Source organism: Homo sapiens, chromosome 20 (genome assembly GCF_000001405.40).
Source record: "Homo sapiens chromosome 20, GRCh38.p14 Primary Assembly".
Taxonomy (NCBI): domain Eukaryota; kingdom Metazoa; phylum Chordata; class Mammalia; order Primates; family Hominidae; genus Homo; species Homo sapiens.
This window is the reverse complement of record NC_000020.11, coordinates 63,398,243-63,423,774: the sequence shown is the minus strand read 5'-3', so window position 1 is coordinate 63,423,774 and position 25,532 is coordinate 63,398,243. Positions and strand designations below refer to the sequence as shown.

The 25,532-nt window shown below is 64.2% G+C and overlaps 1 protein-coding gene and 1 long non-coding RNA gene across 14 annotated transcripts in view, besides 3 other annotated features; one reads left to right on the top strand and one right to left on the bottom strand.

The window, feature by feature from the left end:
* The window catches only part of KCNQ2 (potassium voltage-gated channel subfamily Q member 2), a 72,448-nt gene extending 48,881 nt beyond the window's left edge, over positions 1 to 23,567 (top strand). For 3 of the 13 annotated variants that reach the window (XM_011528811.3, NM_001382235.1, XM_017027843.2), the window contains 6 exons: positions 8,649 to 8,872; positions 9,582 to 9,687; positions 10,194 to 10,325; positions 11,893 to 12,000; positions 15,239 to 15,362; positions 16,400 to 23,567. In XM_011528811.3, coding sequence (XP_011527113.1) covers positions 8,649 to 8,872; positions 9,582 to 9,687; positions 10,194 to 10,325; positions 11,893 to 12,000; positions 15,239 to 15,362; positions 16,400 to 17,131 — 1,426 coding nt within the window. In that variant the 3' untranslated portion in view covers positions 17,132 to 23,567. Of the gene's footprint in view, positions 1 to 3,343; positions 4,157 to 8,648; positions 8,873 to 9,581; positions 9,688 to 10,193; positions 10,368 to 11,892; positions 12,001 to 15,238; positions 15,363 to 16,399 lie in introns of those variants that run through there. The other 10 variants (XM_047440144.1, XM_017027841.3, NM_001439004.1 and 7 more) reach the window with 7 other exon arrangements.
* Positions 5,572 to 6,219: an enhancer, noted in NCBI's record as "H3K27ac-H3K4me1 hESC enhancer chr20:62048909-62049556 (GRCh37/hg19 assembly coordinates)". NCBI's record gives its function as "activates a minimal SCP1, AML or CMV promoter by ChIP-STARR-seq in naive H9 embryonic stem cells {active_cell/tissue: H9 hESC(naive)}" and the evidence as "EXISTENCE:reporter gene assay evidence [ECO:0000049][PMID:30033119]".
* LOC105372724 (uncharacterized) lies at positions 10,425 to 12,510 on the bottom strand. Its single transcript, XR_937002.3, has 3 exons — positions 12,418 to 12,510; positions 11,997 to 12,128; positions 10,425 to 11,885 (listed from the first exon to the last, which is right to left on the bottom strand). It is a non-coding gene; the product is annotated as an uncharacterized LOC105372724 (long non-coding RNA).
* Positions 13,585 to 13,879: a silencer, noted in NCBI's record as "tiled region #327; HepG2 Repressive non-DNase unmatched - State 20:ReprD, and K562 Repressive non-DNase unmatched - State 10:DNaseD". NCBI's record gives its function as "represses a minimal TATA promoter and a strong SV40 promoter by Sharpr-MPRA in HepG2 and K562 cells {active_cell/tissue: HepG2 | K562}" and the evidence as "EXISTENCE:reporter gene assay evidence [ECO:0000049][PMID:27701403]".
* Positions 17,690 to 18,641: an enhancer, noted in NCBI's record as "H3K27ac-H3K4me1 hESC enhancer chr20:62036487-62037438 (GRCh37/hg19 assembly coordinates)". NCBI's record gives its function as "activates a minimal SCP1, AML or CMV promoter by ChIP-STARR-seq in naive and primed H9 embryonic stem cells {active_cell/tissue: H9 hESC(naive and primed)}" and the evidence as "EXISTENCE:reporter gene assay evidence [ECO:0000049][PMID:30033119]".

Here is a 25,532-nt window from a genome sequence, read left to right as displayed (position 1 = left end):
CAAGTGGGCCTCTGGCCTTCCCGCTGCTCTGGGTCCAGAGTGTCTGGAGCATGTGGCACAGACCAGGGCCCCTCGTCCTCCGAGGAGGGTGGGACATCCTCTCTGTCTCACGCCCCTGGGTGGAGATTCTGGCTGGCCTCCTCTCCCTGTTTGCCAAGGTCAAAGTGGGCCAAGGGTGCAGGTGCTTAGCCTGGTTCCCTCTCCCGGGCCCCGAGGTTCTGTGGGTCGGGCAGATTGGAGACAGGACTCGTGTAAGGGCTCTGCTGGGGTGAAGGATGGAGACAGAGAAAATCAAGATCCTTTCACAAGTTAATTCTACGTCTGCTGAGCCCCAGCCCCCGACACATCACCCTGAGGAGGTGCTAGGCTTCTCTGGGCCCCCTGTGCCCCATCCACATGTTGCAGAGTAAATCTGGCCCCTTGGACCTGGGGTCCGAGATGGACGCCTGGCTGCCCCTCCTGGACTGCGGGTGACAGCTGGCGAGACACTGCGGGGCTTGGGTGCGGGGAGATGGAGTGGGGCTGAGCTGCATTTTTCCAGCCACCCCACATCCCACAGAAGGGGAGTCATGGTCAGTGCCTTGAGCTGGAAAGACGGGCAATGCTTCCGGCCCACACCAACCAAGAAAACCACCAGGGGCTCATTCATCCTCTCAAAGAGGCTAAGAAAACGGACGAGGGCCCAGAAAGAGCTGGGTCGGCAGCGTAGCCTCTGCTGGTGCCAGCCCCCAGTGCTGCCACTGCCTCCCCCGCCCCTGCTGCTGGCCCTGAGGCTGGGAGTGGCTGTGGGGATGAGCACTGTGCCCCCCACAATGGGCACCCTTGGCTGTGATTTGGGCGGAACCTCGGTGCTGTCCCAGGTGGACGCGAGGCTTCCCGACGGCTTCCGCGTGGCAGGGCCCCACGCCCTTGCTGGGAGCGACGCCGGAACCCGCCCCGTGCCTCACGGCCCCTCGTGCTCGCTGCCCCAGCCCGGCCCGCTCCACGTTCTCGTCTCAGCCTCTCTCTTTCTCTCTCTCCCTCCCACCCTCCACTCCACCCATCTGGACACCCGCTGCCCCCAAGTGCTTTAATCCCTGTTACTGCCCTTCTCGGGCCCCTCTCTCGTCTGCCCTCTCTTTGGGGATGAGGTGCTGGCCCTGAAGGCGAACTCCAGGTGAGGACACGCGGGAGCCTCCGGGCTCTCCGGTAAGCTCTGTGGCTCCCCACCCCTCCCCCGTCTCTTCCCCATGTGTCCGGGGGGTCCTTGCCTGTGCCTCCCACGCCCTCCCCCACGGGCGAGCACCCACCCGCCCCGGCCCTCCTCCTGGGACGCCTGTGGTGGGGGACGTGGGGCTGCTGGGTCTGGGGCTTCTGGAAGGTGCCTGGGGTGCGGTGGGAGTGAGGAGCAGTCTCTGCCCTTGAAGACCCTCCCCGCCCATCCTGGGGTGCTCACCTGGCAGGTCACGGGGTGGCATCTCTGTTCCCTGGCCTGGGGCAGCCGCAGCCTGTCCAGTGTAGGGTCGTGCTTAGGAAGTTGTTCCGCAATCATTGCCTGCCACGTCCCTGGGCTGCTGGGTGAGGGGCCTGCTCTGCGAAGCTTGATGGGGAGCTCGGCTCCTGGCGCCCCTCTGCTGCCTGACCTGGGCTCTGTGAGTCTGGTGGGACCTGTGCCTCCGCCTGCCCTTTGGAGGTGGAGCCCGCACCCCGCATGGCAGGACCCCGCTGGTGTCAGCTGGTCTTGGCAGGTGGATGGTGTGGACACAGGGACCCTCACTCACTGCTGAGACCCCCACCCCCATCCTGGCTCAGAACACAGGCACGTGGTGGCAGGCGACCCGGCTGGCGGGGGCTCGGTTCCCGTAGGGACCACTGGGGCTGTGCTGGAGTCAGAGGAAGCGTCTACGTTGGGGTCGGGTGGGGAGCCAGGCAGGCTGCGGGGCTCGGGCCGTGCTGCCCCAGGGGGGTCCCGGGGGGTCTCTTTGGCCACGGCGGTTCTGACTTGTGCTGTCTTGTCCGACACCCCATCTCACTGCCTCCTGCCCCCGTGCTGGAGGAGGAGCCCCCAACACCGGCTGCCCCCTCATGCCTGTGCGGGCTCCCCCGTGCCTGTTCGGGCTCCCCCTCCTCTTCTCAAGCACACGTGTCCGCGTGTTTTTGGTGCATGTCTGTCCTGTCGGGTCTCGGTCAGTGTCTGTGGGTCTCGAGCTCACTGTGGGCCTGTCCGCCTGTCCGACCTCGGGTCACAGGGCCTTCTCACGCAGTGTGGAGCTCCCTGTGGCTGATGGGGCAGGAAGGAAGCCCAGTGCCAGCTGCGGACCCCAGGGGGAGGTGCAGCTGCACGGGTCCCCCACAAAGCTTTGGGGGTCTTGGGGGGCTGTGCCTGCAGCGCCTCCCTGCCAGCTCTCCCCGGCTCTCAGACCACGTTGCCCCATACAGGAGCTGCCAGCCACATGTGGCTGTTAAAATAACATGGATTATAACGGGCACGGTTAGAGATTCACTCTCGAGTCTCAGGTGCCTGGTGGCGACAGCCGGAGCTTCAGTGTGGCTACAGGACGATCCCATTGCAGAATCGGGCGGCAGGGCCGGCCCGGGAGGGGCCTCTTGGTCAAGGCGATCATGCTGGGGTCAAAACAGGAGACCTTGGGAGGTTTGGGGAAGCGGGACCCTGCCTCCTTCATGCTCTTTCCCTGGGGTGGGGAAGGTCTCCTGGGGCCCTCCAGGCAGGGGCTCTGTGCTTGGGCCTGGGTGGTGCTGGTGGGAGTCTGAGGTCTTTGCCTGCCAGGAAGGCCTGGGTGTCATCGTAGCTGGGGTGGTCACAGCGGGAGAGACTCTGAGCAGCCAGAACCTCAAGCCAGGCGCAGGGAGCCGGCTCCCTCCTGCCTCGTCCCACCGTCGCGTTCGTGGTTAACCAGCAAACAGAGTCCAGCCTTTGCACTACATCCCTTCGTGCCTGGGGACCCCAAAGTCGCTTGTGTACTAAAAAGCCGGACCGGCACGGGGGCTGGGGTGGAAGCCGGCCACCCGCCCTTGGAGTCTTGCAGGCTGGTGGGGCTTGGGGAAGGGTCCAGAGCCCTCAGCCTACCCGGGCGGCTGAGTGCTGCCGTGACTGGAGCTAGCCGTGTCTGTGACGCCGCTCGGAGAGCTGCCTGCGGGTGCGTGCAGGGACATCGGTGTCTAAACACACGTGTGCGCAGGAAGACGGGAGGCTGGGTGCTTTCTTCCTAGAGCCTGTGTGTTCTGAGTGGATGCCGTCGCCACGCTGGGGTTCCTGGGGCACCGAGTTTGAGAAGTGCTGTCTCAGGAAGCAGTGGCAAGGAGGTTGGGGGTGGCTGGGGTGGGGAAAAGGAAGAGTTCTTGAGTTCTTGGTGATTGGTTTCATTTTTTGCTTAATCATTTGCACATTGTGATGCAGAGCTAAATCGCCAGGGTTTTTGGGGAGATTCTTGGGAAAACGTTCCGTGTTTTCTGAGCCTTTTCTAAGGAACGCCCCGGCGGGGAGCTGCGCTCCTGAAGGGCTTCACAATGAGGGGATCCACTGAGCCCCAACGTGACTGTCCTCAGGGGAGCCCTTGAACCCCCAGATAGCCATGCCTGCAGTGGCAGCCACGCCTCCTGGGTAAACCGAGACCCACCTCCAACTGGGGGACTGGCTGGCATGGCCAAACGTCGCCGATTGGTTTGCAAAGCGGGACAACTGCACGTTTTCCTCTCTCAAATGTGTGTGCTTCACACCCACGCCCTTTCCCGGGGTCACGTCCTTCCCAAGCAGGGCTTCTGCGGCGTCTGAGGCCACATGTATTATTGTTTTGTCAGCATGAATACTGCAAAAAATAATACATCTTTTAAGACATGAACCCAAACTGTGGCTTTGGAAGGAAAAGGTATTTTTGGAGGAAAAAAAAAACAGGGATTTTTTTCCTTCAGAAATAGGGAAGTGTTTTCTTCTCCGGACGGTGGAGACGATGGTGCACCTTCCTCGCTGGCCTTGCTTGGGCGCAAGCTCTGCCGCTGGGGACTGCACACAACACCCTGGGTGGTTGCAGTGCCTCAGTTTCCCTGCTCCCGGCCGTGTGCTGTTGCCGGCGCCCAGGACTAACTGTGCTCTCCTCATTTCCAGTAAAGGCAGCCCGTGCAGAGGGCCCCTGTGTGGATGCTGCCCCGGACGCTCTAGGTACCGCGGAACACGCCGCACGGACTGACGGCTGCTGCACGGCTCCTCTGCCCCTCCCTGCTTACTAGAGGTTCTGGAGGAGCCAGGGGGAGGCTGGCGCCCCAACCCCAATTCTGACCCACCGCCCTGGCGGTGCGGGCTCAGCTCCCTCTATTCTAGCCGACAGCTGCGTGCAGGGCGGAGCTGGGGGAAGGTGCTTCTTCTTGCTCCCCACGCCAGGCGATGTCCTGCGCACAGCCAGAGGGGCCAGCCAGGGGCTCTGAACCCAGCAAGGCGTCCGTGCCTCCTGGGGTCCCCGACTGCTCTTCAGGGAGCGTTTCCCCTGGGGCTGTCACTCTAGCACCTCTGCTGCGTACCTGAGGATGACTGAGCCTTCCTGGCTGCCTCGACCGCGGGAGGCAGCTCCGTCTGTGTGTGCCGGGCTCCTCAGGGTCCTGATGCATCAGAAGCCCCAGAAAGCCAGAGGCCCGCGGCTCCCTCTCCCAACAACAGGCCTGGTTTAGGGCAGGTGGAAATAGGACGGGGGAGGAGCCGCCCCCTTTGCACCGTGGGCTCCTGGCCTGCACCGTGACCCGCACCTCCCCTGTCCCCGCGTCCCCTGTCTGCTGTTGGGTGTGTGCAGGCCTGCGCTGGGGGCCCCTCCCTCCTGGCCAGCACAGCCCAGCAAGGTGGAGGTGGCTGTGTCGTGCTCCTGTGGGGCTCTCCTTGGCATGTGCATGCCGCCGGTGGTGCTGGCCTTGGAGGGCTGGTGGGGCTGCATGCTGCCTATCTGCATCCGTGCATGCTTCGGACCCTGCTCCATGGGGGGCCCGCGACTCCATGCCACCCTCTCCCTGTGACTTTGCTGCTTGTGTGCTTCTGGGGGCGTTGGTGCTTGCGGGGAGACTGTTGGCAGCTCCAGAGAGGGAGACGGGCGTGTGGGCTGCCTGGGGCATGGCCTGCTGGGGCGCTAGCAGCTGTCCTGCGTGTCCGGAGCATCTATTCAGGGTGCTTCTGGCCGCAGGCTGGTCCCTCAGGGCAGGGGCTGAGGTCAGGCTGCTTGGGGACCAGAGGGGTTTGAAAGTGGGGGTGGGAGCCCAGGCCAGAGAACAACCCAGGGCAGGCCCTGTCCTGCTGCGAGCAGCCCCCACGGGAGGCCCCTTCATCCTCACGCTTCCTGGGCGTCGTTGGTCCGGACACCAGCTGGGCAGGGGTCTGGATGCTCCTCAGCCTCCTGTTTCCTGCGGGCACCGCACATCTGAATTTCACCATTGGGAGGGAGGGTGGCAGGCCGGGTGGGGATGGCGCGCTCTCAGGTGCTTCTTGAGCCTGCCCCGGCCCCGTAAGCCCCAAGCGTAGGTGCCACGGACGCCCCTCGCACACAGAGGGCAGCTCTGGCCGAGGGCTCCTCCCAGGTGGGTGGCGGCAGCTTTTCGCGTGCGCTTGTTCTTGGCTTGTGGCCGAGGGAGGGCCTGCGAGACCACGCGTGCTCCTGGCAGCTGAGGCAGGCTGGCGGGGTCGGGTGTCTGCAGCATGGAGCCTCACCAGCTGTGCTTGGAGGGTGCAGAGTTTGGGTCATGGTGGAGGTCCAGGGGAGGGAAGGACATGTCCAGGTCGCGCCACCCTCCTCTTCCTGGCAGAGCCTCCCTCGCAGATCTGAGGTGGGAGCGGAGCCCGAGACCCGGGACAGCAGGGCCGCGCCGAGGCCAGGGCAGGCTCCTTCCCGCCGGCTCTGTCTGGGGCAGTACACGTGGGCTGCGTCCCGGCGGCCCCTGGGGCTGTGCTGGGCATCGGGTCCAGCAGGGTGTGTCTGCCGCTGGCGGGGCTGTGGCTCCTTGTCGTGGTCAGCGGGGGGTCCCCCCTGAAAAATGGGAAGCAGACGTCGGGGCTGGGTCTTCTCTCCTGGGGCCTGTGGAATCCACGCCACTCCCTTCCTGCAACTCCCTGCGGACTGTGGGGCCTGACCCTTCCTGGCCCGCACGTCTGTGTGGCCGCCTGGGTATTTGACCCGTTCCCCTCCGGGGCCGCAGGTGGGAATCTGATGCCCATTCCTCAAGCTGTGCCTTTCCCACTGCAAGCCCTCAGCACCGGGCTCTGCCCAGAGACCAGCCAAGGGCAGCCCCGAAGCTACAGTTGGGCCGACCGGCTCTGTCCTCCACCCGGTGCTTTGCCAGCTGCCGTGAGAAAGGAGGTGGCTGCTTCTCTCTCTGGTGACTGGACCTGCCTCGGGTGGAAACGCAGAGAGAGGAATTGAGTCTTCCAGTGACTCCCACTTGCCCTGAGGCCTGCCTGAGCGGGGTCAGGAGGGGCCTATTCTTGCCTTTGAAATGGCTCGTGCGGTGGAGAAAGAGAGAACATTCCAGGAGTCCCGCTGAGCCTGTGCCCATGTGCTCCCCTGGCCCCCGTCCGGTTCTCCCCGACCACCTGTGCTTTTGTTGTTGGGATGGGGACCAGAGGCCGTTGGGACAGAGGCACCCACAGCACCAGGACTCTGAGCACCCCTGGCCCCCATGGGCACGGTGTGTTGGCCTCAGGCAGTGCAGGGGTGTGGACTCAGGACTGGGGTCCTGAGCGAGCCTGTACCATCGGCTCCTGACGTCCCCAAGCACGCGACGCCTCGGGACTCGGGGGATCTCGGCCACTCCGTCTCTGCTTCCCCGAGCGGGCACAACACCCAGGGGCTTCTTTCTTTCTCTCAGAGACGCCTGAGTGGGGACAGATGGTCTGCTGAGTGGGCACAGATGGTCTGGGCGGTCACCTGCTGCCTGGGGGATGGGGTGGGGAGGGGCAGCCAAGCGATCCGCGTGTCCAGGCCAGGCAGACGGGCGCGGTGGGCTCTCATGTCTGTGGCTGGTTATCTCTGTGCCGTCTGGTGGGCGTGTCTCTCTGGCTGTGGGTCTGGAGTCGGGGCTGATGGTGGCTGCTGACCGGGGCCTCAGTCCCTCGCTGTTGGCTGGGGAGCCGCCGTGGGATCAGGGAGCCCGTGAGGCACTGGGCTTCCTCTCTGAAGTGTGTCAGGGATCTGCGGGGCCTCCCCACCCGAAGGCTTGTTTCAGGCTCCAGCAACAGTGCTCTGGGCCCTGCCCAGAACCACCCTGAGAAGTTCCGTGGCTGCTAAGCATGGCTGGGCATGAGCGGGTCCCCAGTTCGTGAGAGCCCCACTGTCCTCAAGGGAGCCAGGGGGTTCTGATGCTTTCCAGACCTCAGGAGGCCACATCTGCCTGGCGTCTCCCAACCACCAACCACAGTGAACCCTCCCCTCCCCTCACTGTCGCCCGGCGGACGCTGGAGTTGAAGAACTCGGGTGCAAACCCATCTCCACGGTCACCAAAAAACTCGGGGGCAAGGCAGGCCCAAGGACCCCCCGAGAGTATGGAGCTGGAGACCCAGCCAGACACAGCTGCAAATCCTGCTTCACGCCTCGCAGGCCGAGGGGGCCGGGCCACAGCGCTGTGGCTTTGGAGGCTGCCTCCCCCTGCCCTGGGGCAGGACTTGGATAGTGAGGCCCAGCTGGCGGAGGAGCCCCGTTATCCATTCCTTCCTTCCAGAAGCCGGAAGGAGCAGTTCTCTGACACGGACCTGGTGGGAGGGGAGCCTGACAGGGGAGGCCTGAGCCCTCCTGAAGCCCATCCCACCAGGCAGGCCCCCGGGGTGGGTGGAAAGGCCGGAGTGTGGCTGAACAAGGGTCCACCGCAGACTTGGCCCCCAATGTCCTTGTTGTCCCCTGGCCCCTCGACTCTGGGGCAGAAGGAGAGGGACAGGCCGTGGGAGGGGAGGAGGGAGGCTGCTTCCTGGGAGCAGTTACGGGTGTGAAAAGGCCACAGGGGAAACCACGGGCGGGGCCGGGGCAGACAGAGGTGCCCGAGGAAGAGCCACAGCCCCGGTGTTTGGGATGCCCGTTGCCCTGAGTGTCACTGGGTGAGGGGCTGGCAGGACAGTGTGAGGAAGGCTCCGGCACCTCGTGGTGGTAGCGGAAAGTGATTTAAGAGTCCACAGACATCAACTCTCCCCACATGGCCAACCTCTGGCCACGCCTGAGCCAGCCGGGGGAGCTTGCTGCCCACCCAGCCTCCCCTCCCTCCCTCCCGCCGGGTGCTCAGTGTCTGTGGCCTCCCCTCCCTCCCTCCCGCCGGGTGCTCGGTCCCCGTGGCCTCCCCTCCCTCCCTCCCGCCGGGTGCTCGGTCCCCGTGGCCTCCCCTCCCTCCCTCCCGCCGGGTGCTCGGCCCCGGTAGCCTCCCCCCCTCCCTCCCGCCGGGTGCTCGGTCCCCGTGGCCTCCCCTCCCTCCCTCCCACCGGGTGCTCGGTCCCCGTGGCCTCCCCTCCCTCCCTCCCGCCGGGTGCTCGGTCCCCGTGGCACCTGCTCTGAGCCACCCGTGTGGCTGGCTGTTCTTCAGACCTGTGTCTCCCTCCGGCGCATGGGCGGCGTCGGCCATGAGCAGACACGGCCTGTGTTCTTTGCAGAGTGACTTCTCTCCCTGTTTTTCTGTCTGTCTGTCGGTTCCCGTGGGAGCAGCCAGAAGGTCAGTTTGAAAGATCGTGTCTTCTCCAGCCCCCGAGGCGTGGCTGCCAAGGGGAAGGGGTCCCCGCAGGCCCAGACTGTGAGGCGGTCACCCAGCGCCGACCAGAGCCTCGAGGACAGCCCCAGCAAGGTGCCCAAGAGCTGGAGCTTCGGGGACCGCAGCCGGGCACGCCAGGCTTTCCGCATCAAGGGTGCCGCGTCACGGCAGAACTCAGAAGGTGGGTGTGGCCGCATCCTCTCCTGGTCCATCCTCTCCGGGGATGGATGTGGTGGCCACGCTACTGTGGCCACCCTGTGGCGTCGCAGCTGCTTTTGCTTGCTCTTGGAGTGGGAACCCCCTATCCTTTCTAAAATTGAGGTGAGACTTGTGCAACCTAAAATTAACTATTTAAAAGTGTAGGAATTCAGTGGCATGTAGCACGCTCACGGTGGAGTTGTCACCACCACCTCAGCCTAGTTCCAGAACATTCTCATCACCACAGAAGGAAACCATGACCCCATCAGTAGTCACCCCATTCCCCGCCTCAGCCCCAGCACCCGCTGCTCTTGGGCCGTGCGTGTCTGCGGCTCCCACGTGGGGCCGTTGGGTCTGGCTTCCTTCACTGAGCCTCAGATGTCAGGCCTGCACCTTCCGCCGTTAACATCTGTGCGTGGATGCGCCATGTTCTGTTCATCCATTGGCCAGAATGTCCTTTGACGCCCCATATCGGCCACTCCCTGTGGCCACAGCCTGCCGGGGAAGGTCCTGACTCGAGAGCAGCTGGGTGCAGATGGGTGGGTTTCCAGAAAAGCAGGTGCACCCGAGGGGCACCACAGGGAGCCTCGAGGGGCTCCCTGGCGCTCTGTCTAGCCGGTGTGCCCTGCAGGACCCCGGGAATAGGTCTCCCGGCCCCCTCGGCCCCTCACGGCCTGTCTCCTTCCCCCCAGAAGCAAGCCTCCCCGGAGAGGACATTGTGGATGACAAGAGCTGCCCCTGCGAGTTTGTGACCGAGGACCTGACCCCGGGCCTCAAAGTCAGCATCAGAGCCGTGTGGTGAGGCCCCTGCCCAGCCGGGAGCCTGGGGGAGTGAGGAGGGGCCTCCCGCTCGGTGGTCCTGCCTGCTGCCGGTGCTCATGGTGCTGGACAGAGCCGCCCAGAGACAGAGTCTACTGGGAAAAGAAAGGGCTAAGACACGGGTGGACCTGGCTGAATGTCCTGGAGTGCACTCCTCTGGGACTCAGGCGGGTTTCGGGTGGGATGCCGGTTCAGCAAGAGGCCTGAGGCCGGGCTCCACCTGGCTTAGGAAGCAACTCAGCCACCTTCTGCCTGCTGTGGCATGGAGTCCAAGGGGGCATGGCCAGGCCTGCAAGCCCCACCTGTCCCGGGCAGAGCAGGGCCACATAAAGGCCCTTCTGTGTGTGGAGCTGGTGGGCGGCAGACAAGAGGGGCAAGTCCAGCCATCTCCAGGCGCCGAGGTCTCAGAGGTGCTAGGAAGGTCCTGGTGCCTGTGGCCGGGGGTCTCTGGCCCAGGGCTCACAGCCCCACCCACCCCCCTGCAGTGTCATGCGGTTCCTGGTGTCCAAGCGGAAGTTCAAGGAGAGCCTGCGGCCCTACGACGTGATGGACGTCATCGAGCAGTACTCAGCCGGCCACCTGGACATGCTGTCCCGAATTAAGAGCCTGCAGTCCAGGCAAGAGCCCCGCCTGCCTGTCCAGCAGGGGACAAGAACGGGGTGGGCTTCTGGGACAAAGCCCACTGTGGCCCATGGTGGGAGTGCAGGGGGTGTGTGGGCGGGGCCTCCTCCCCACCCACGTCGGCCTCTGTCAGCTTCTGTTGTGTCTTCACAAAGTCTGTTTTAATATTTCTGCTGTCTCTCCCATCTCTCCCCCATCCACACCGCGGTGGGCAAGTGCGTGCACCTGTGTGTGTGGGTCCCTGAAAATGTGTGTGTGCATGTGTGTGTGTGTAAGTCACGCATGCACACATGTATGCTTCTGCACAGGTGTATGTGTGTGGTTGTATGCACGTGTGGCTCTGCTCTGCCATGTATGCACGTGTGTGGGGTGCATACATGTGTGTACACATGTGTGCATGTGTGTTGGGGATGGAATAATTCTGTTCAGACATGAAGCTGCAGGGTTCCCGTGGGCCCCACCAGGCATCAGTTATGCTACTTGGCACCTTTTCTTCTACCTGCCCTCCTTGGCATAGGTGTCCCCTAAGTCCACACACGTGCCCACACATGTGCAGCCTCAGGCACATACAAACAAGGATATACACACGAGTGGGTGTTTATGTTGCCTGTAATGGGGACACACGGCTGTTGAGAGTCTCTCCTGCAGTAGGGGACATGCTCCTGCCTATCAGGGTCCCCTCCCTCTCCCAGGCCCCCCAACCAAGGCTGTACCAGTTTCTCAGCCCTGGAAGCGAGGCTGGGCCCCTGTTACAGGGAGAAGGCTGGGATGGTCAGGGACAGCCTGGGGGTCACAGCCCAACTCCGGGCCCTCCAGTGGGAGTGAAGCTCTCATCTGAGGAAGTCGAGAGCCCCACCCTGGGGCTCCTGCCCAGTCCTGCTTCAGGGGGCCAGGGAAGGGGCGCCTCCAGGCCTTAGCCCACTCCTGCTGTGCAGGGGCCACTGAGCCATCCCCTTCACCCCGCTGGGCTCCAGCTGTGAGGCCTCTTTCCCAGCGTCCTCTCTGGAGCAGCGGCCAACCCTGGCTGCGTGTGCGTGTGCGTGTGTGTGCGGAACGCCCTCCTGTCTTGACTTCTGTGCTTTGTCTCCACATCTCTCTCACTTCAGCTGTTTTTGTTCACCAGGATCTCTTGTCCTAAATTTTCCCTTTCCTTCCCTCTCTCTCTGGAAAAACAAACAAAACAAAGCAAACACCCCAAGGACCCCAGGAGTCCTCGGCCGGCTCCTGACAATGCGTTTCCCGTTGCCCCGCCGCGGCCTGTCTGGTACCGGCTCCTGCTGCGGGCACCTCCCCTGCACTCCACGCTCTGGGACGTGGCACCCGGGTCTCCGCAGTGGGGCCGCCCGCCACCCGCTCCCGAGTCAAAAGCTTTGCTTGAAACACGGGAAGGACTTGGCAAATCCAAGGTCCAGCGAGGCGGCGTCCACACCCTCTGTGGGAGAGCACCTGTTTCGACGGAGCCTCCCTGTTGCTTCCGTTTCCGCCAGTTCCTGGCCAGCTCCTCATTTCCTGTGGCTTTACGATGCGTTTCGCCGGTGTCTCTTTTCTTGTTTACTCTGCCAGGATAGATATGATTGTGGGTCCCCCGCCCCCTTCAACTCCCCGGCACAAGAAGTACCCCACCAAAGGACCCACGGCCCCTCCGAGAGAGTCACCCCAGTACTCACCTAGGTTAGGATGCCAGCGCCTCTCCGACGTGTCTGTGGAATGGCCGGCCCCTTCGCTCCAGGCCACATGACGGCAGCACCTTGTACCACCCTTTCCCCGGGACAGAGGGGACACTCGGGTTTTCTCTGTTCCTGAAAAAGCCACAAGAGGGAGAAGGCCCTTCCTCCACCAGGGCCCCAGGCAGGCTGTGCCCCTATCAGGACTGCCAGGGGCCCCACTGCTCCTCTCGACAAGTGCCCTGGGGAAGCCGGGGGCTCTGTGGATGCCCTGTGAGATTTCCCTCTGGGGTTGGGAGGCCCCCGGGCAGCACCTCCAGGATCAGATGCCATCAGACCTGCACAGACATCCCTCTGGCCCTGCCCGTGCCCCCTGGACAGGCCCCTCCTGGCTGAGGGCTCTCCAGCCTCCCCAGGCACTGACCTGCCCCTCAGCACCTGCCCACTGTGGGGGTGGGCCTGGCCACGTGCACGGCCCAGACCTGGGCCCTGGGTGGCTCCGAGCAGGTGGAGCCGCATCTCTGTGTCTCTTCCCTCTCGTGGAAGATACAGACGGTCACAGCATCTACCCCTTAAGCCACCGGGAAGAAGCGTGAGAAGAGGCCTGCCAGGTGCCCGGCACAGGCGTGCGCTCCAGCAGCTCCGGTGCTGGCTTTCAAGCTGCCAGCATCCTAATTAGTGTTTTTGATAAGGGAGCTGGCGAGAGCCCCGGCTGATGGGCAGAACAGAGGTGCGGCCCAGCTCCACGTGAGCTGGCAGAAGCCAGTTCTTTAGTGATTAACTCAGACTTTCCAAGGCCTTCTTGCCTCCCAGGGACTATTCAGATGACGGTGGTTCCCTGTCTTCTGGCAAGTCTGATTGGCTGAGGGAGGGTAGAGCCCCTGGGGCGGAGGCCTGGAGGCTGAGCATAGACCCCTGGCCTTCCCTGACAGCTCAGGGCAGACAGTTTCTGGGTACAGCCAATGCCAGTGTCTGGGCAAATGAAGCCCAGGCCTGAGCTGGTGGGGACGGCGTCTGGGGTGAGTCTGACCCCTCCTCCCTCTGTGGTGGGGTTTCTGCCTGTGAGGCCAAGTGTCTGTGCACTGGACATGTCAGCCCCGTGCTCCTCCCGTGAGAACGGAGTTTCTGGGAGCAGGCAGGGCCGTGTCTGTTACTGCCCAACCCAGGGTAGCCCCGGACGGAGTTTGCCGGGTTCCCTGCTCTGTGGTGTCCCCCATGCCCAAGAGTGCTGTGCCCTGGGGCTGGTCCTCCGTCCTCCTGTGCCTTGCCGCAAGAGACAGCAGCTGGGCATCCACAGCTGTGAGCTCGGACGGTCTTGTGGCTAGGAGACGTGCAGGTTCACACAGGGGGCCAGGGAGACAGTTGGAGCGCTTGCCCCACCTCACGGGGCACTGAGCACTCAGGGATCAAGTCTCCTCCAGCCAGGGGCCCAGGGCAGGAGGGGCACAGGGTCCTTGGAGGAGCCCCCAGCAGCAGCTCCAGGCTGAGCCCGTGGCCAGGGCTCCTATTGGGACTGAGCAGGCGGGCGGCCCGTCATGTGGCAGGGGCGAAGGTGCTGAGCATCTGCCTGGACTGTGTGGATGCCCCGAACACCAGGGACTCCCATCTCCTCCATCGCCACTGGCGTCTGCTCGGAGCCAGAGGGTCCCCTCCCGCCGTCCCCTCCCGCCCTCCTGGCCCTATTGCATGAGTCCAGCATGAAGCCCCGCGGAGCATGAGGAGCTGCACTGTGGCCGACGCGAGCCTGAAACCCTCTCTGTTTCTCGCAACAGAAAGAAGATAACACCCCTGGCCCACCCTCCCCCCTCCCATCAGAGGCAGGTAGGGCAGCCCAGTGGCAGGAAGTCCCGCCCCCATCAGAGGCAGGTAGGGCAGCCCAGTGGCAGGAAGTCCCGCCCCCATCAGAGGCAGGTAGGGCAGCCCAGTGGCAGGAAGTCCCGCCCCCATCAGAGGCAGGTAGGGCAGCCCAGTGGCAGGAAGTCCCGCCCCCATCAGAGGCAGGTAGGGCAGCCCAGTGGCAGGAAGTCCCTCCCCCACCATCAGAGGCAGGTAGGGCAGCCCAGTGGCAGGAAGTGAGGACTTGGCCCCGTCGGCTGGTGTGGGGCAGTCTTCATGTACCAGGCCCCAGTCCAGGGGAGACTTGGGAGCTTGTGGCCTCTCCTGGGTGGGTCCTGCTCAGCCACACCCCGTCTTGAGCTGCCCTTGTCCAGCTGGGCTTTTGTAGACTTACTGCAGGGTCTTTGTTTCCAAGTGAGTTCCCACGTAGCTGCAGGCCTCAGCGCACACCCACCGTGGTGGCCCCTGCCAGCCCAGCAGTGGCCGTGACTCTGTGGATACCAGACTGGTCAGAAGCCCCCGTCCCTGAGGGCAAAGGAGCCTCCCTCCCTTCTTATTGTCATGAGTGACCTGTGGCCTCATTGGAGATCAGCTCAGCTGAATTCTGCATCCTACACACACACATGCACACACGCAAACGTGCACACTCTTGCACACATGAACACATGCACACGCGTGCACACAGAAACTTGTGCAATGCACATGAGGGCACACACATGCACATCGAGTGCACACACACGTGCACACACAGACCCTCGCAGCTTTGTCTCCCCTCTTCTGGTTTGTGCGTTGGTTCCTGTGCTGCTCTGGGCCTTCTCTCCTTGTCCTGGTGCATGGAGCCGCAGCTCTCACGCCTTTTCTGCTTCTGTTGTCCCCGCCGCAGACATTTAACTCCGTCCCCATCAGACCCGGTGGGGCCGACGGCTTCAGTGGCACATTACGTAGGAGTAAAGCTCCGGGGTGGGCACGGGTAGGGGGAGGGGCATCCTCTGGAGTGGGCTCCAGGCCCTGCAGTGGGAGACCCTCCGTGGGCTGTGGGGCCAATAGGCCTTGGGCAGGGAAGAGGGTGAGCAGGTGGGGCTGGCTGGAGGGGGCGGTATGGAGCCGGGAGCCCACGGAGAGGAGCCGGGCGACTCGGCCCTGGTGGGAGCGTCCTTACTTTACTCCTCGCTAATGTGCCAGGCCCCTTGGGGACAGAGCGGGCAGGAGCAGAACCTCACGGTGCCAGAAGACGGGCTGAGAACGGGGCGCACCCCGTCCATCTGTCCTGGCACCCACTGCCCCCTGGTCGGCTCTGGGCTGAGCCTGCAGCCTAGACCCAGGGGCACTGTGGCCTGGTCCAGGAGGAGAGGGCAGGGGCCCTGCTGCACCCACCCGAACTCATGCTTTGGGGTCTCTGTTCCCGGTAGAGTGGACCAGATCGTGGGGCGGGGCCCAGCGATCACGGACAAGGACCGCACCAAGGGCCCGGCCGAGGCGGAGCTGCCCGAGGACCCCAGCATGATGGGACGGCTCGGGAAGGTGGAGAAGCAGGTGCGAGAGGCTGGGCGGGAGGGGTGCGGGGCTGGAGGGCTGTGGTGCCTGCCGTCAACCTGTGGCAGTGTGGGCTTCAGGGGCTGGGTGCCACGGAGGGCTCCTCAAGTCTAGGGTTTACATGGCCCTGTCACCACTGACAGCTGCTCTGTGCAGACCCCTCACACCCCACCGTGAGCCTCCCACCCCCGGCCTGGGTGCCTTCCCTCCTGACAGTACCCAAGGGCCAAAGTCCCCAGGAGTCCTGGGTGGGGGCTGCTGAGAGGTGGATCCCTCAGGGGTTCCTTGTGGAACGTGCCGGAAGTTGTACCTGCCTGGCCTTCCTCCTCTCTGTCCTCCTTGCCCGACACCCTGGCCGCTGTCTTCTGGGGGTGCATTCTCAGGAACCACCGCAGAGGACCCTTGTTTTGGGGCCTGCTTCTGAGAGCCGGGCCTGAGCAGTGAGTAAGGAACTGCCAGGTCCTGCCCTGTGGGGCTTTCCTGAAGGGGGTTCCACGGTGGGCAGCAGGAGGGCCTGGCTCTGAACACACGCCCCAACCGTGGAGCTGGAGGCTTTGCCCCTAGGGGTCTGGGAAGGAGGAAGAGCTGCTCCTGGGCCTCCTCTTCCCGCTCCTCCAGCTTCCAGGGAGCAGGGATCCCCCCTCCCTGTACCTCTCCAGGGAGCAACCCAGGTCCCCCCACCTCCTGGGACCAGCCCAAGTCGACCGACTTCCTGGGAGTGGTCCAGGTCCCCCCATCTCCTAGGACCAGCCTGGGTCCCCCCCATTTCCTGGGACTAGCCTGGGTCCCCCATTTCCTGGGACTAGCCTGGGTCTCTCCTGTTTCCTGGAACCAGCCTGGGCCCCCCCATTTCCTGGGAGCAGCCCGGGTCCCCACATCTCCTGGGACTAGCCTGGGTCCCCCGTTTCCTGGGACTAGCCTGGGTCTCTCCTGTTTCCTGGAACCAGCCTGGGCCCCCCCATTTCCTGGGAGCAGCCTGGGTCCCCACATCTCCTGGGACGGGCCCTCGCACCCCAGCCCAGCAGCCCCTTTTGCAGGTCTTGTCCATGGAGAAGAAGCTGGACTTCCTGGTGAATATCTACATGCAGCGGATGGGCATCCCCCCGACAGAGACCGAGGCCTACTTTGGGGCCAAAGAGCCGGAGCCGGCGCCGCCGTACCACAGCCCGGAAGACAGCCGGGAGCATGTCGACAGGCACGGCTGCATTGTCAAGATCGTGCGCTCCAGCAGCTCCACGGGCCAGAAGAACTTCTCGGCGCCCCCGGCCGCGCCCCCTGTCCAGTGTCCGCCCTCCACCTCCTGGCAGCCACAGAGCCACCCGCGCCAGGGCCACGGCACCTCCCCCGTGGGGGACCACGGCTCCCTGGTGCGCATCCCGCCGCCGCCTGCCCACGAGCGGTCGCTGTCCGCCTACGGCGGGGGCAACCGCGCCAGCATGGAGTTCCTGCGGCAGGAGGACACCCCGGGCTGCAGGCCCCCCGAGGGGAACCTGCGGGACAGCGACACGTCCATCTCCATCCCGTCCGTGGACCACGAGGAGCTGGAGCGTTCCTTCAGCGGCTTCAGCATCTCCCAGTCCAAGGAGAACCTGGATGCTCTCAACAGCTGCTACGCGGCCGTGGCGCCTTGTGCCAAAGTCAGGCCCTACATTGCGGAGGGAGAGTCAGACACCGACTCCGACCTCTGTACCCCGTGCGGGCCCCCGCCACGCTCGGCCACCGGCGAGGGTCCCTTTGGTGACGTGGGCTGGGCCGGGCCCAGGAAGTGAGGCGGCGCTGGGCCAGTGGACCCGCCCGCGGCCCTCCTCAGCACGGTGCCTCCGAGGTTTTGAGGCGGGAACCCTCTGGGGCCCTTTTCTTACAGTAACTGAGTGTGGCGGGAAGGGTGGGCCCTGGAGGGGCCCATGTGGGCTGAAGGATGGGGGCTCCTGGCAGTGACCTTTTACAAAAGTTATTTTCCAACAGGGGCTGGAGGGCTGGGCAGGGCCCTGTGGCTCCAGGAGCAGCGTGCAGGAGCAAGGCTGCCCTGTCCACTCTGCTCAGGGCCGCGGCCGACATCAGCCCGGTGTGAGGAGGGGCGGGAGTGATGACGGGGTGTTGCCAGCGTGGCAACAGGCGGGGGGTTGTCTCAGCCGAGCCCAGGGGAGGCACAAAGGGCAGGCCTGTTCCCTGAGGACCTGCGCAAAGGGCGGGCCTGTTTGGTGAGGACCTGCGGCCTTGGGTCCCGGTGGGGTTTCCGGGCAGCTACAGGCGGGTGTGGCCGGCCGCTGTGCGTGGCCTCTGCCTTCACACCTGACCTGCCCGGCGGGCTTTCCTGTTCCCCACCTCAGGGGCGCCCAAATACAGAGCTATTGGTTGGCGTCTTCTCCCTGTACCTTCTGGGATCTGAGGGCTCTTTCCATGGAAGCCAGCCCCGAGGTGGAGACCTTCGCCTGCAGCCGAGGAGCGGGTGGGGCCTGGGAACCAAACTGGAGCCAGAGTGGACGTCCAGCCCTCTGGTCTTGGCCTCCAGAGGGAGGGCCTGGCTCACGGTGGGGCCAGGGAGCCGGCTCCAAAGGGTCTTCAAAAAGGGGGTCCTTGGGGGCTCCAGCTGCCTCGCCCTGGCCTTTCTGTGGGTGCGTGAGAGCCAGCAGCACCCCAGCCTTGGAGACCGGGGGGGCAGGACCCCAAGTCCTCCCCTCTCTCCTGACTGCCCTGGCCGGGTGCCGGCACTGCGAGACCCACCTGGTGAGCAGGCCTCACAGTTCTTAGCCAGGGCCCCACCTCGCCTGTGTCCCACCAGTGCCCCGACAGACCTGGGGCAGGGCTGGGCCATGATGCAGCGGGCCAGGATAGCCTCCACCGTCAGCACAGGGCCGCCCTCCCCGCCTTTCCGGAGGAAACCACTCCCACCTCAGCCCAGCTGTGCGCCCTCCCTAGCTCTCCTGCCCCCTGGAGCTGATGGCCCCTTCTCCACTGACCGATTCCTTAGCGGGGCCTCTTGGGGTCTCGGGCCTCGGGTGCACCGTCCCATGCCCGTCCTGTTGTGGGCACCGTGGCCCTTGGGGCAGGCGGCTCTAATGCGGGAGCGAGTCCCTAGCTCCAGACTTAAGAACCAGACCCCGGGAGCATCTGGCATTTGGCGTGACGGCGTCGCAGGCGGGCCTGGGCTCCCTGGAGAGTGGCCTCCCTGGGAGTGAGCAGGGCTGGGGTCGTGGGCGCAAATACTCCTGCAGAGCAAGTGCAGGGGAGTCCTGGGCCCGTTTCTCCTCCACCTGCGTTTTCAGTGCACTTGGCTTGGCTGGGAGGTCCTGAGGCCCTGAGGCCAGCAGGGGAACCAGTCCTGAGGGAGAGGACTTTGAAAGCAGCATTTGAGGGTCGTACGCCCCTGGCTGGTGGGGGTCCTGGCGCTCAGGGTGTTCGGGGAGCCATGTCTGGCGTCCATTGTGGGGAGCTGCTGCCCTGGCCTCTCTGCCTACCCCCAGCCCGGCCAGGGCACTCCCAGGCCCTGTCGCCATTGAGGTGCCTCCGCTGGGCTGTCTCCTCACCCCTCCCTGTGCTGGAGCCTGTCCCAAAAAGGTGCCAACTGGGAGGCCTCGGAAGCCACTGTCCAGGCTCCCACTGCCTGTCTGCTCTGTTCCCAAAGGCAGCGTGTGTGGCCTCGGGCCCTGCGGTGGCATGAAGCATCCCTTCTGGTGTGGGCATCGCTACGTGTTTTGGGGGCAGCGTTTCACGGCGGTGCCCTTGCTGTCTCCCTTGGGCTGGCTCGAGCCTGGGGTCCATGTCCCTTTGCCGTCCCGTCATGGGGCAGGGAATCCATAGCGGGGCCCACAGGCAGGGGTATGAGTGCGTCCCACCCAACGCAGCACCAGCCCCGGCCACCGCTCCCCGTGTCCCCAGTTCCGTCTCAGCTACCTGGACTCCAGGACCCTGGAGAAGGGAGACCTGGCAGTGGAGGGAGGCTGTGCTGTGTGTCCCCCTGCAGGTGTGACCCCGCCTGCTCTTTCCTCCCCCGCCAGGTGTGGCCCCGCCTGCTCTTTCCTCCCCCACCAGTATGGCCCCACCTGCTCTTTCCTCCCCCCCCAAGGTGTGGCCCCACCTGTTCTTTCCTCCCCTGCCGAGGTGTGACCCCACCTGCTCTTTCCTCCCTCCCAGTATGGCCCCACCTGCTCTTTCCTCCCCCGAGGTGAGGCCCCGCCTGCTCTTTCCTCCCATGGGGCCGCTGAGGCATGAGCACCTGGGCACAGGTTGGGGCTCTGCAGGATGAGGAAGACAGGCCAATCCCTTCCCTCCCAGAAGCTGGCCGCCCAGCAGGAGGGACTGAGGCCAGACTCATGTCCAGCAAGGAACGTGTGGTGTGTCCCCTGGGAAGTCTCTGGGCCCTGGGAAGAGGGAAGGTGCACGTCCTGGGATGGTTGCGGGGCCCTGTTTTGGGAGACAAAGGGGTAGAGGGTCTGTCTTGGGCCCCCCCAGACTCTAGCCTGAGCAGTGCAGCCACCTACTGCCCCACCTCAGAGAAGTGCAGCGGGAAGGAGGCTGGAGGTGGTGCGGCGCTGCCTCGGGTGTCTGCGTGAATGAGCGTGGCCAAGGACCAGTGCCACCTCATGGCAAAGAGCTCCCGCAGTGTTTGTTAGAGTGCACATCCCTACGTGCCCACTGGCACACACACGTGCTCACATACATGTCCGCATACAGGCGTACACATGCACGCTTGCACACATGCACACAGACCACATAGCACACATGTGCACTGACCACACCTGTATAGACCATGCACAGTACACATACGTGCATACACATGCCTGCATACAGGCATACACATGCACGCTTACATGTACACGTGCACAGATCACACACATGCACACACGTGTAGCTCACACACAGTATACACATACACAAGTGCACAGACCACACACAGCACTAACACATGCACACACAAAGTGCATAGGCCACACAGCACATGCACACAGGTGCACAGACCACACAGCACACACAAGTGCACAGAGCACACTGCACACATGCACACACACACGCGTGCATGCACACTCCTCGCACTTCCAGCCTTGGAGCCCTTCTGTCTCTGGTCTTTCTCTTTGACCCTGCTGAGTGTAAGCTGCCTGGGGAGGGGCTACAAGGAGTAATTGTGGCTTTAGGGGTCGTGGTGATGCTGGAATGTCAAGCGCCGTCGTGGGGTATCCGACTGTCCGGGCTCCTGGTCCGCAGTGGCAGAGCGCCAGGCAGAGCCCAATCAGGGTCTCGTGCTGCCCTTCCCTCCCACAGCCTGGCAGCCATCCAGAGGAGGGGCTCTACCAGATGCCAAGGTGCCCCGGTGTCTGTATGGGTGTCCGGTTGGGTCCTGTGTTTGGTCTGCCCTGGAGGTGCTGGGCCCTCCTGGGATGGGTGGCTCAGCCTCGAATCCCAGGCCCCAGCCCAGGCAGGTGCTGCTGCCTGTTGTGGTTTCCTGGCCCAGCTTCTCCTTCTCCCTCTGCATAAAATCACAGTCCGTGAGTCTTCCAGCTGCCACCACGGCTGGGACACGCTGGGGGAGGGCTCCTCCCATGCCTCCTGCACACAGCCGTCTGAGCAGGGCAGGTGCCCAACACCCCCCACCGGAGGACACGCTGCCCCTCAGCGATGCCCCTACCTTTTGGGGGGCCTCGTCTCAAGCCCCCCCTTGGAGGCTGAAATCACCCCAGGCACTGTGAGGGCTTCTCCAGGGGGCACCCTTTGAGCTGTGGGTCTGATCACCCCAAGTCCCGCCCGGAGGAGAGGCACAGCCAGGGCGTGTGGTTTAATGTTTGCCCCCTTCGGGGCTGGAGGTCTCAGTGTTTCTAGATTCCAGACCCTGCTGCCAGAGAGACCTGCTGCCGGAGAGAAGGGGAGGAGGACTCCAGCTGGGCTCGGTCCCCCACAGTCAGGGACCCCCATAAAGGACACCCCCTTCTCTCTAGAAAGAGCTGGGCTCTCAGCTATTTCTAGTTGCTTCCCAGAAGCCGAGGAGCAGAAGGAGCTGTGAGAGCTTTGCAGAAACGCCCTTGTCCCCGCCCTCCTGAGCTATGAATGCCGTACAGAGCAGAGGCTGGGGCATTGGCAAGATCACAGGTTGATGCTGCACAGCCCCATTGACACAAACCCTCAAAGCAGACGTGAGAGGGACGGTTCACAAAGCTCGGACCTGCCGTGGAGGGTGCCCGGCAGACGTGGCGTGAGAGGGACGGCTCACGAGGCTTGGACCTGCTGTGGAGGGTGCCCAGCAGACGTGGTGTGAGAGGAACGGCTCACGAGACTTGGACCTGGTGGAGGGTGCCCAGCAGACGTGGTGTGAGAGGGACGGCTCACAGGGCTTGGACCTGCCATGGAGGGTGCCCGGCAGACGTGGTGTGAGAGGGATGGTTCACAGGGCTTGGACCTGCCATGGAGGGTGCCCGGCAGATGTGGTGGGAGAGAGATGGCTCATGAGGCTTGGACCTGCCGTGGAGGGTGCCCAGCAGACGTGGTATGAGAGGGATGGCTCACGAGGCTTGGACCTGGTGGAGGGTGCCCGGCAGACGTGTGAGAGGGACGGTTCACAAGGCTTGGACCTGCCATGGAGGGTGCCCAGCAGACGTGGTGTGAGAGGGACAGCTCACGAGGCTTGGACCTGCTGTGGAGGGTGCCCAGCAGGGGGCTGAGCTCTGAGGGGTGGGTGCTCAGTGCACGGGTGCCCCCAGTGTCCTCTGATCCTGTCCGGTGCCTCCCCCAACCCCCACACCCATGCAGAACTCCCAGGTCACATGCACGTATGTCCAGGGCATGGGGGTGGCGTGAAGAGGCCTGGTCAGGGCCTTTAGGGGCTGCAGGACGGAATGGCCGCCTGGGGAGCCTGTGTGGCTGTGCCGGGCAGCCATCCTGCATTCCCACCCAGCGCGCAGTCTCCACCTCGGCCCCAGCAAAGCGCTAAGCAGCCGGAGAGACAGCCAGGGCGGCTTCCTGAAGGATGTGGGATGGTGGACTCCGGGGTCGAGGGAATACGCAGGTTCCTGTCCCTCCGGGAGACCTAGAGAAGCTGCACACCCAGGAGCTTTCCATGACCCGGGAGCATGAGTGAATGGGGGTTCCAGTTTGCTGAACTTTGCCGTCTTGTAAGGGTGGGGGCTGACGGCCGACCCTGGGAGGAGGTGACATCGCCGGGGGAGGTTGTGGGCAACGGTGGAGGAGGAGAGACGGGAGGGGACCATTTGGGATGGAGGGGCCTCTTCAGAGTTTTAAAAGGCGTTTGTGGGGTGGAGTTGAGTGTGCTCTGGGCTTGGACACTTGCCGTGGTGCCCCTGGCTGGCCGAGGAGACTGGCTCTGGCCAGGGGCCCCGTCCTGAGAGGTCCTCAGCGTCTGACTCTCGGCCAGGCGCCAGCAAGGAGGGGCCGGTCCCCGGGGCTACCAGGCAGGCACGTGCACATCGCCATCGCCACACGCCAACTCCGCCTGGGTTTTACAAAGTCGTTGCCTTAATGCATGTGGACAGGAACTCCCTGAGGTCGCCCCATGCCCCCTGGCTGTGCCAGGTACGGACGCCCTGGACCCTGCGAACAGGTGGGGCGGGCGAGGGGCCCAAGGGACGGGCTCCAGAGACACGCGCAGGGCAGGAGGGGTCTCACGGAGGGGTCTCGCACTGAGGCGCCCAGAGCTGGTGGTCCCGCTGGACGCCATCCCTCTGCCCGGGATCCACACGGCCCACGTGTGCCCGCCATGCCCGCGCCCCACGCCATTGCAGTCTGCCATCCTCTGGCCGTGACGGTGGCTGCAGCTTCCCCATTTGCGCCGTTGCCTCTGGCTGTCTGCACTTTTGTTCATGCTCCAAAGAACATTTCATAATGCCTTCAGTACCGACGTACACTTCTGACCATTTTGTATGTGTCCTTGTGCCGTAGTGACCAGGCCTTTTTTTGGTGGATGTGTTACCCCGCACACTTCAATCTCAACTTTGTGCACCGTCCATTTTCTAGGGATAGACGCCCAGGGAATGAACTCTAGTTTTCTAACAGATTAGCTGAGATATTAACTTACTCACACGGACAGGTTGATGCCAGAGCCGTAAGAATGCGCCAGTGCGGGTTTGCGGGGGACTTCGGGTGTGGGGTCCTGCGGCCGCGATGGCCGTGGAAGGTTCTGGGGATCCCTGCTGCCACGGGGACGAGTTCGGACGCCAGGTGGACCTGTGCACTCAGTAAAACGCAGTGATTCAACCTGGACGGTGTGTGGCCTCCTCACTCCCACTGTCTCTGGGCGGCCGGTCTGAGGGCCGGGGACTTCTGGTCGATGCTGGGGCTGAGTCGGGTGCGGTGCTGTGGACCGGGTGTGGGGACGGATGGTCCCTCTCCTCAGGGCACGAACGAGCTGGGGTGTTGTGAAACAGTGGGGCTGGGGGCCACAGTGAGTGAGGAGCAGGGGCGGCTGGGTCCTAGGGCTCTGGCCAGAGGAGGGGCCGCTGTGGGGCTGCTGTGGTCCCTGGGCTCTCTCTTGGGGCGCCGAGCTCTCCCTCCCCTCTGAGGCCTGCAGCCACCCAGAAAGATGCTGGGGCCTGGGCCTGCCGCTGGGGCACCTGTGGTCCATCAGCTCGCCCGGGCAGGATCGCCGGTCACCATGTGTCCACTTGGGTACCTCCTGTTGTTGGCCTGGCCCCCGTCTGCTTGTCTGTCTCCCTGCCCCCACTCCCTGCCCAAATCTTCCTCTGCTCATCTCTGGCCTCTGGACAAGCCCTCCTGTTCCCCACGCTCGCTGAGGCCCTCAGCTGGGGGGCTCCGTGGCGATCTTGACATCCTACCTGGCTGGCCAGGTGACGAGCGCCCTGTAGGGTGATTTATACCCCCACACAGGGTGCAGGTGTCCATCCACGTTGCCCCCTTCCTGCCGTGATCCCGAGTTCCATGAGGGCTGCTGGGCGCTTCCCCACACCTGCGGGTTCACTCACAAAGGGGCATTTGCAGGAGCCCCCGAATGCTCCAGTCTGAAGGGGACACGGGGACAGAGGCACGTGTGAGGGTCTGAGAAGGGCTAGAGGGGGCCATGGTCAACGTGGTGATGGGAAGCATGGTGGGGGGCCCATCTGCCCAAAGGGTCTCCAGGGGAACTCAAGAGTCCCCTGTCCAGGGCCAGCCAGAGAGTGCGGAGCCCCACCATGAGCTGGGCCTGCAGGGGTCTCACTGGGGATGGACCCCACGCTCCCCTCTCGGGACGGACCCCACAGCCCCCTCCAGGGACAGACCCCACGGCCCCCTCCAAGGATGGACCCCACACCCCTCCAGGGATGGACCCCACGGCCCCCTCCAGGGACAGACCCCACACCCCCCAGCTGGTGGCCAAGCCTAGGAAGCCTGCCTGGTTGCAGGGCTCACCCAGAGGAGAACCCCATGGGCACCCGCTCCTCCCCGTGGGCACCCGCTCCTCCCTGTGGGCACCCACTCCTCCCCGTGGGCACCCACTACACCTGGCAGCCGAGGCCCTGAAAGGCCCACCCGACCTGCACCCTGGGCGGGAACTGCTCGGCTAAACCTACAGCTGAGTTGAGACAACCTGGCTTTGCCCCACAGGGAGGCCACGGCCGCAGCTCTGGGCACACCACGGAGGTGCATGCGTTAGTCCCCGTCCCTCTGTGTGTGCCCTTCCGCGAGCAAGGCGGGTGAAGCTGGACAGGCACACAGATCCCAGGCTCTCTAGGCCTGGCTCCTGGCTCCTGGGTGGGGGCTCCTGTGGGGCCGAACCGGGAGGGGCCGTTCCATGGCTTCAGTCGGCTGTAGCCTGGACTCTGTCCTGGCCTGGTGGCCTCGGGCTGTCCAGTCCCCCTGGCCCGCTCCTTGCCTGCCCTCTGCTGAGGCCACAGCAGCCACCTGGACACCAGCACCCCTGGTATGCAGGGGTTGGCCAGCACCTGGAGGCCCAAGGACACGTGGGATTAGAATTGTGACCTAAATTCTCAGAATTGGCTCTGCCCCTGATTATGACAGGCCTGAAAACAGGCCCAGAGACATTGCAGCAGGTGGCTGCACGAATTCACTCATTCACTCATTCATTCACTCATTCATCATTCACCAAACAGGCGCTCGCCCCAAGACCTCCCACAGACTGAGTCCAACAGGAGCCTGGGCTCACGGAGCCTGAAGCCCAGACCCAGCGCAGGAATTACAGAATTCAACAGGTCACCGCCTGCTGCTCCGGAG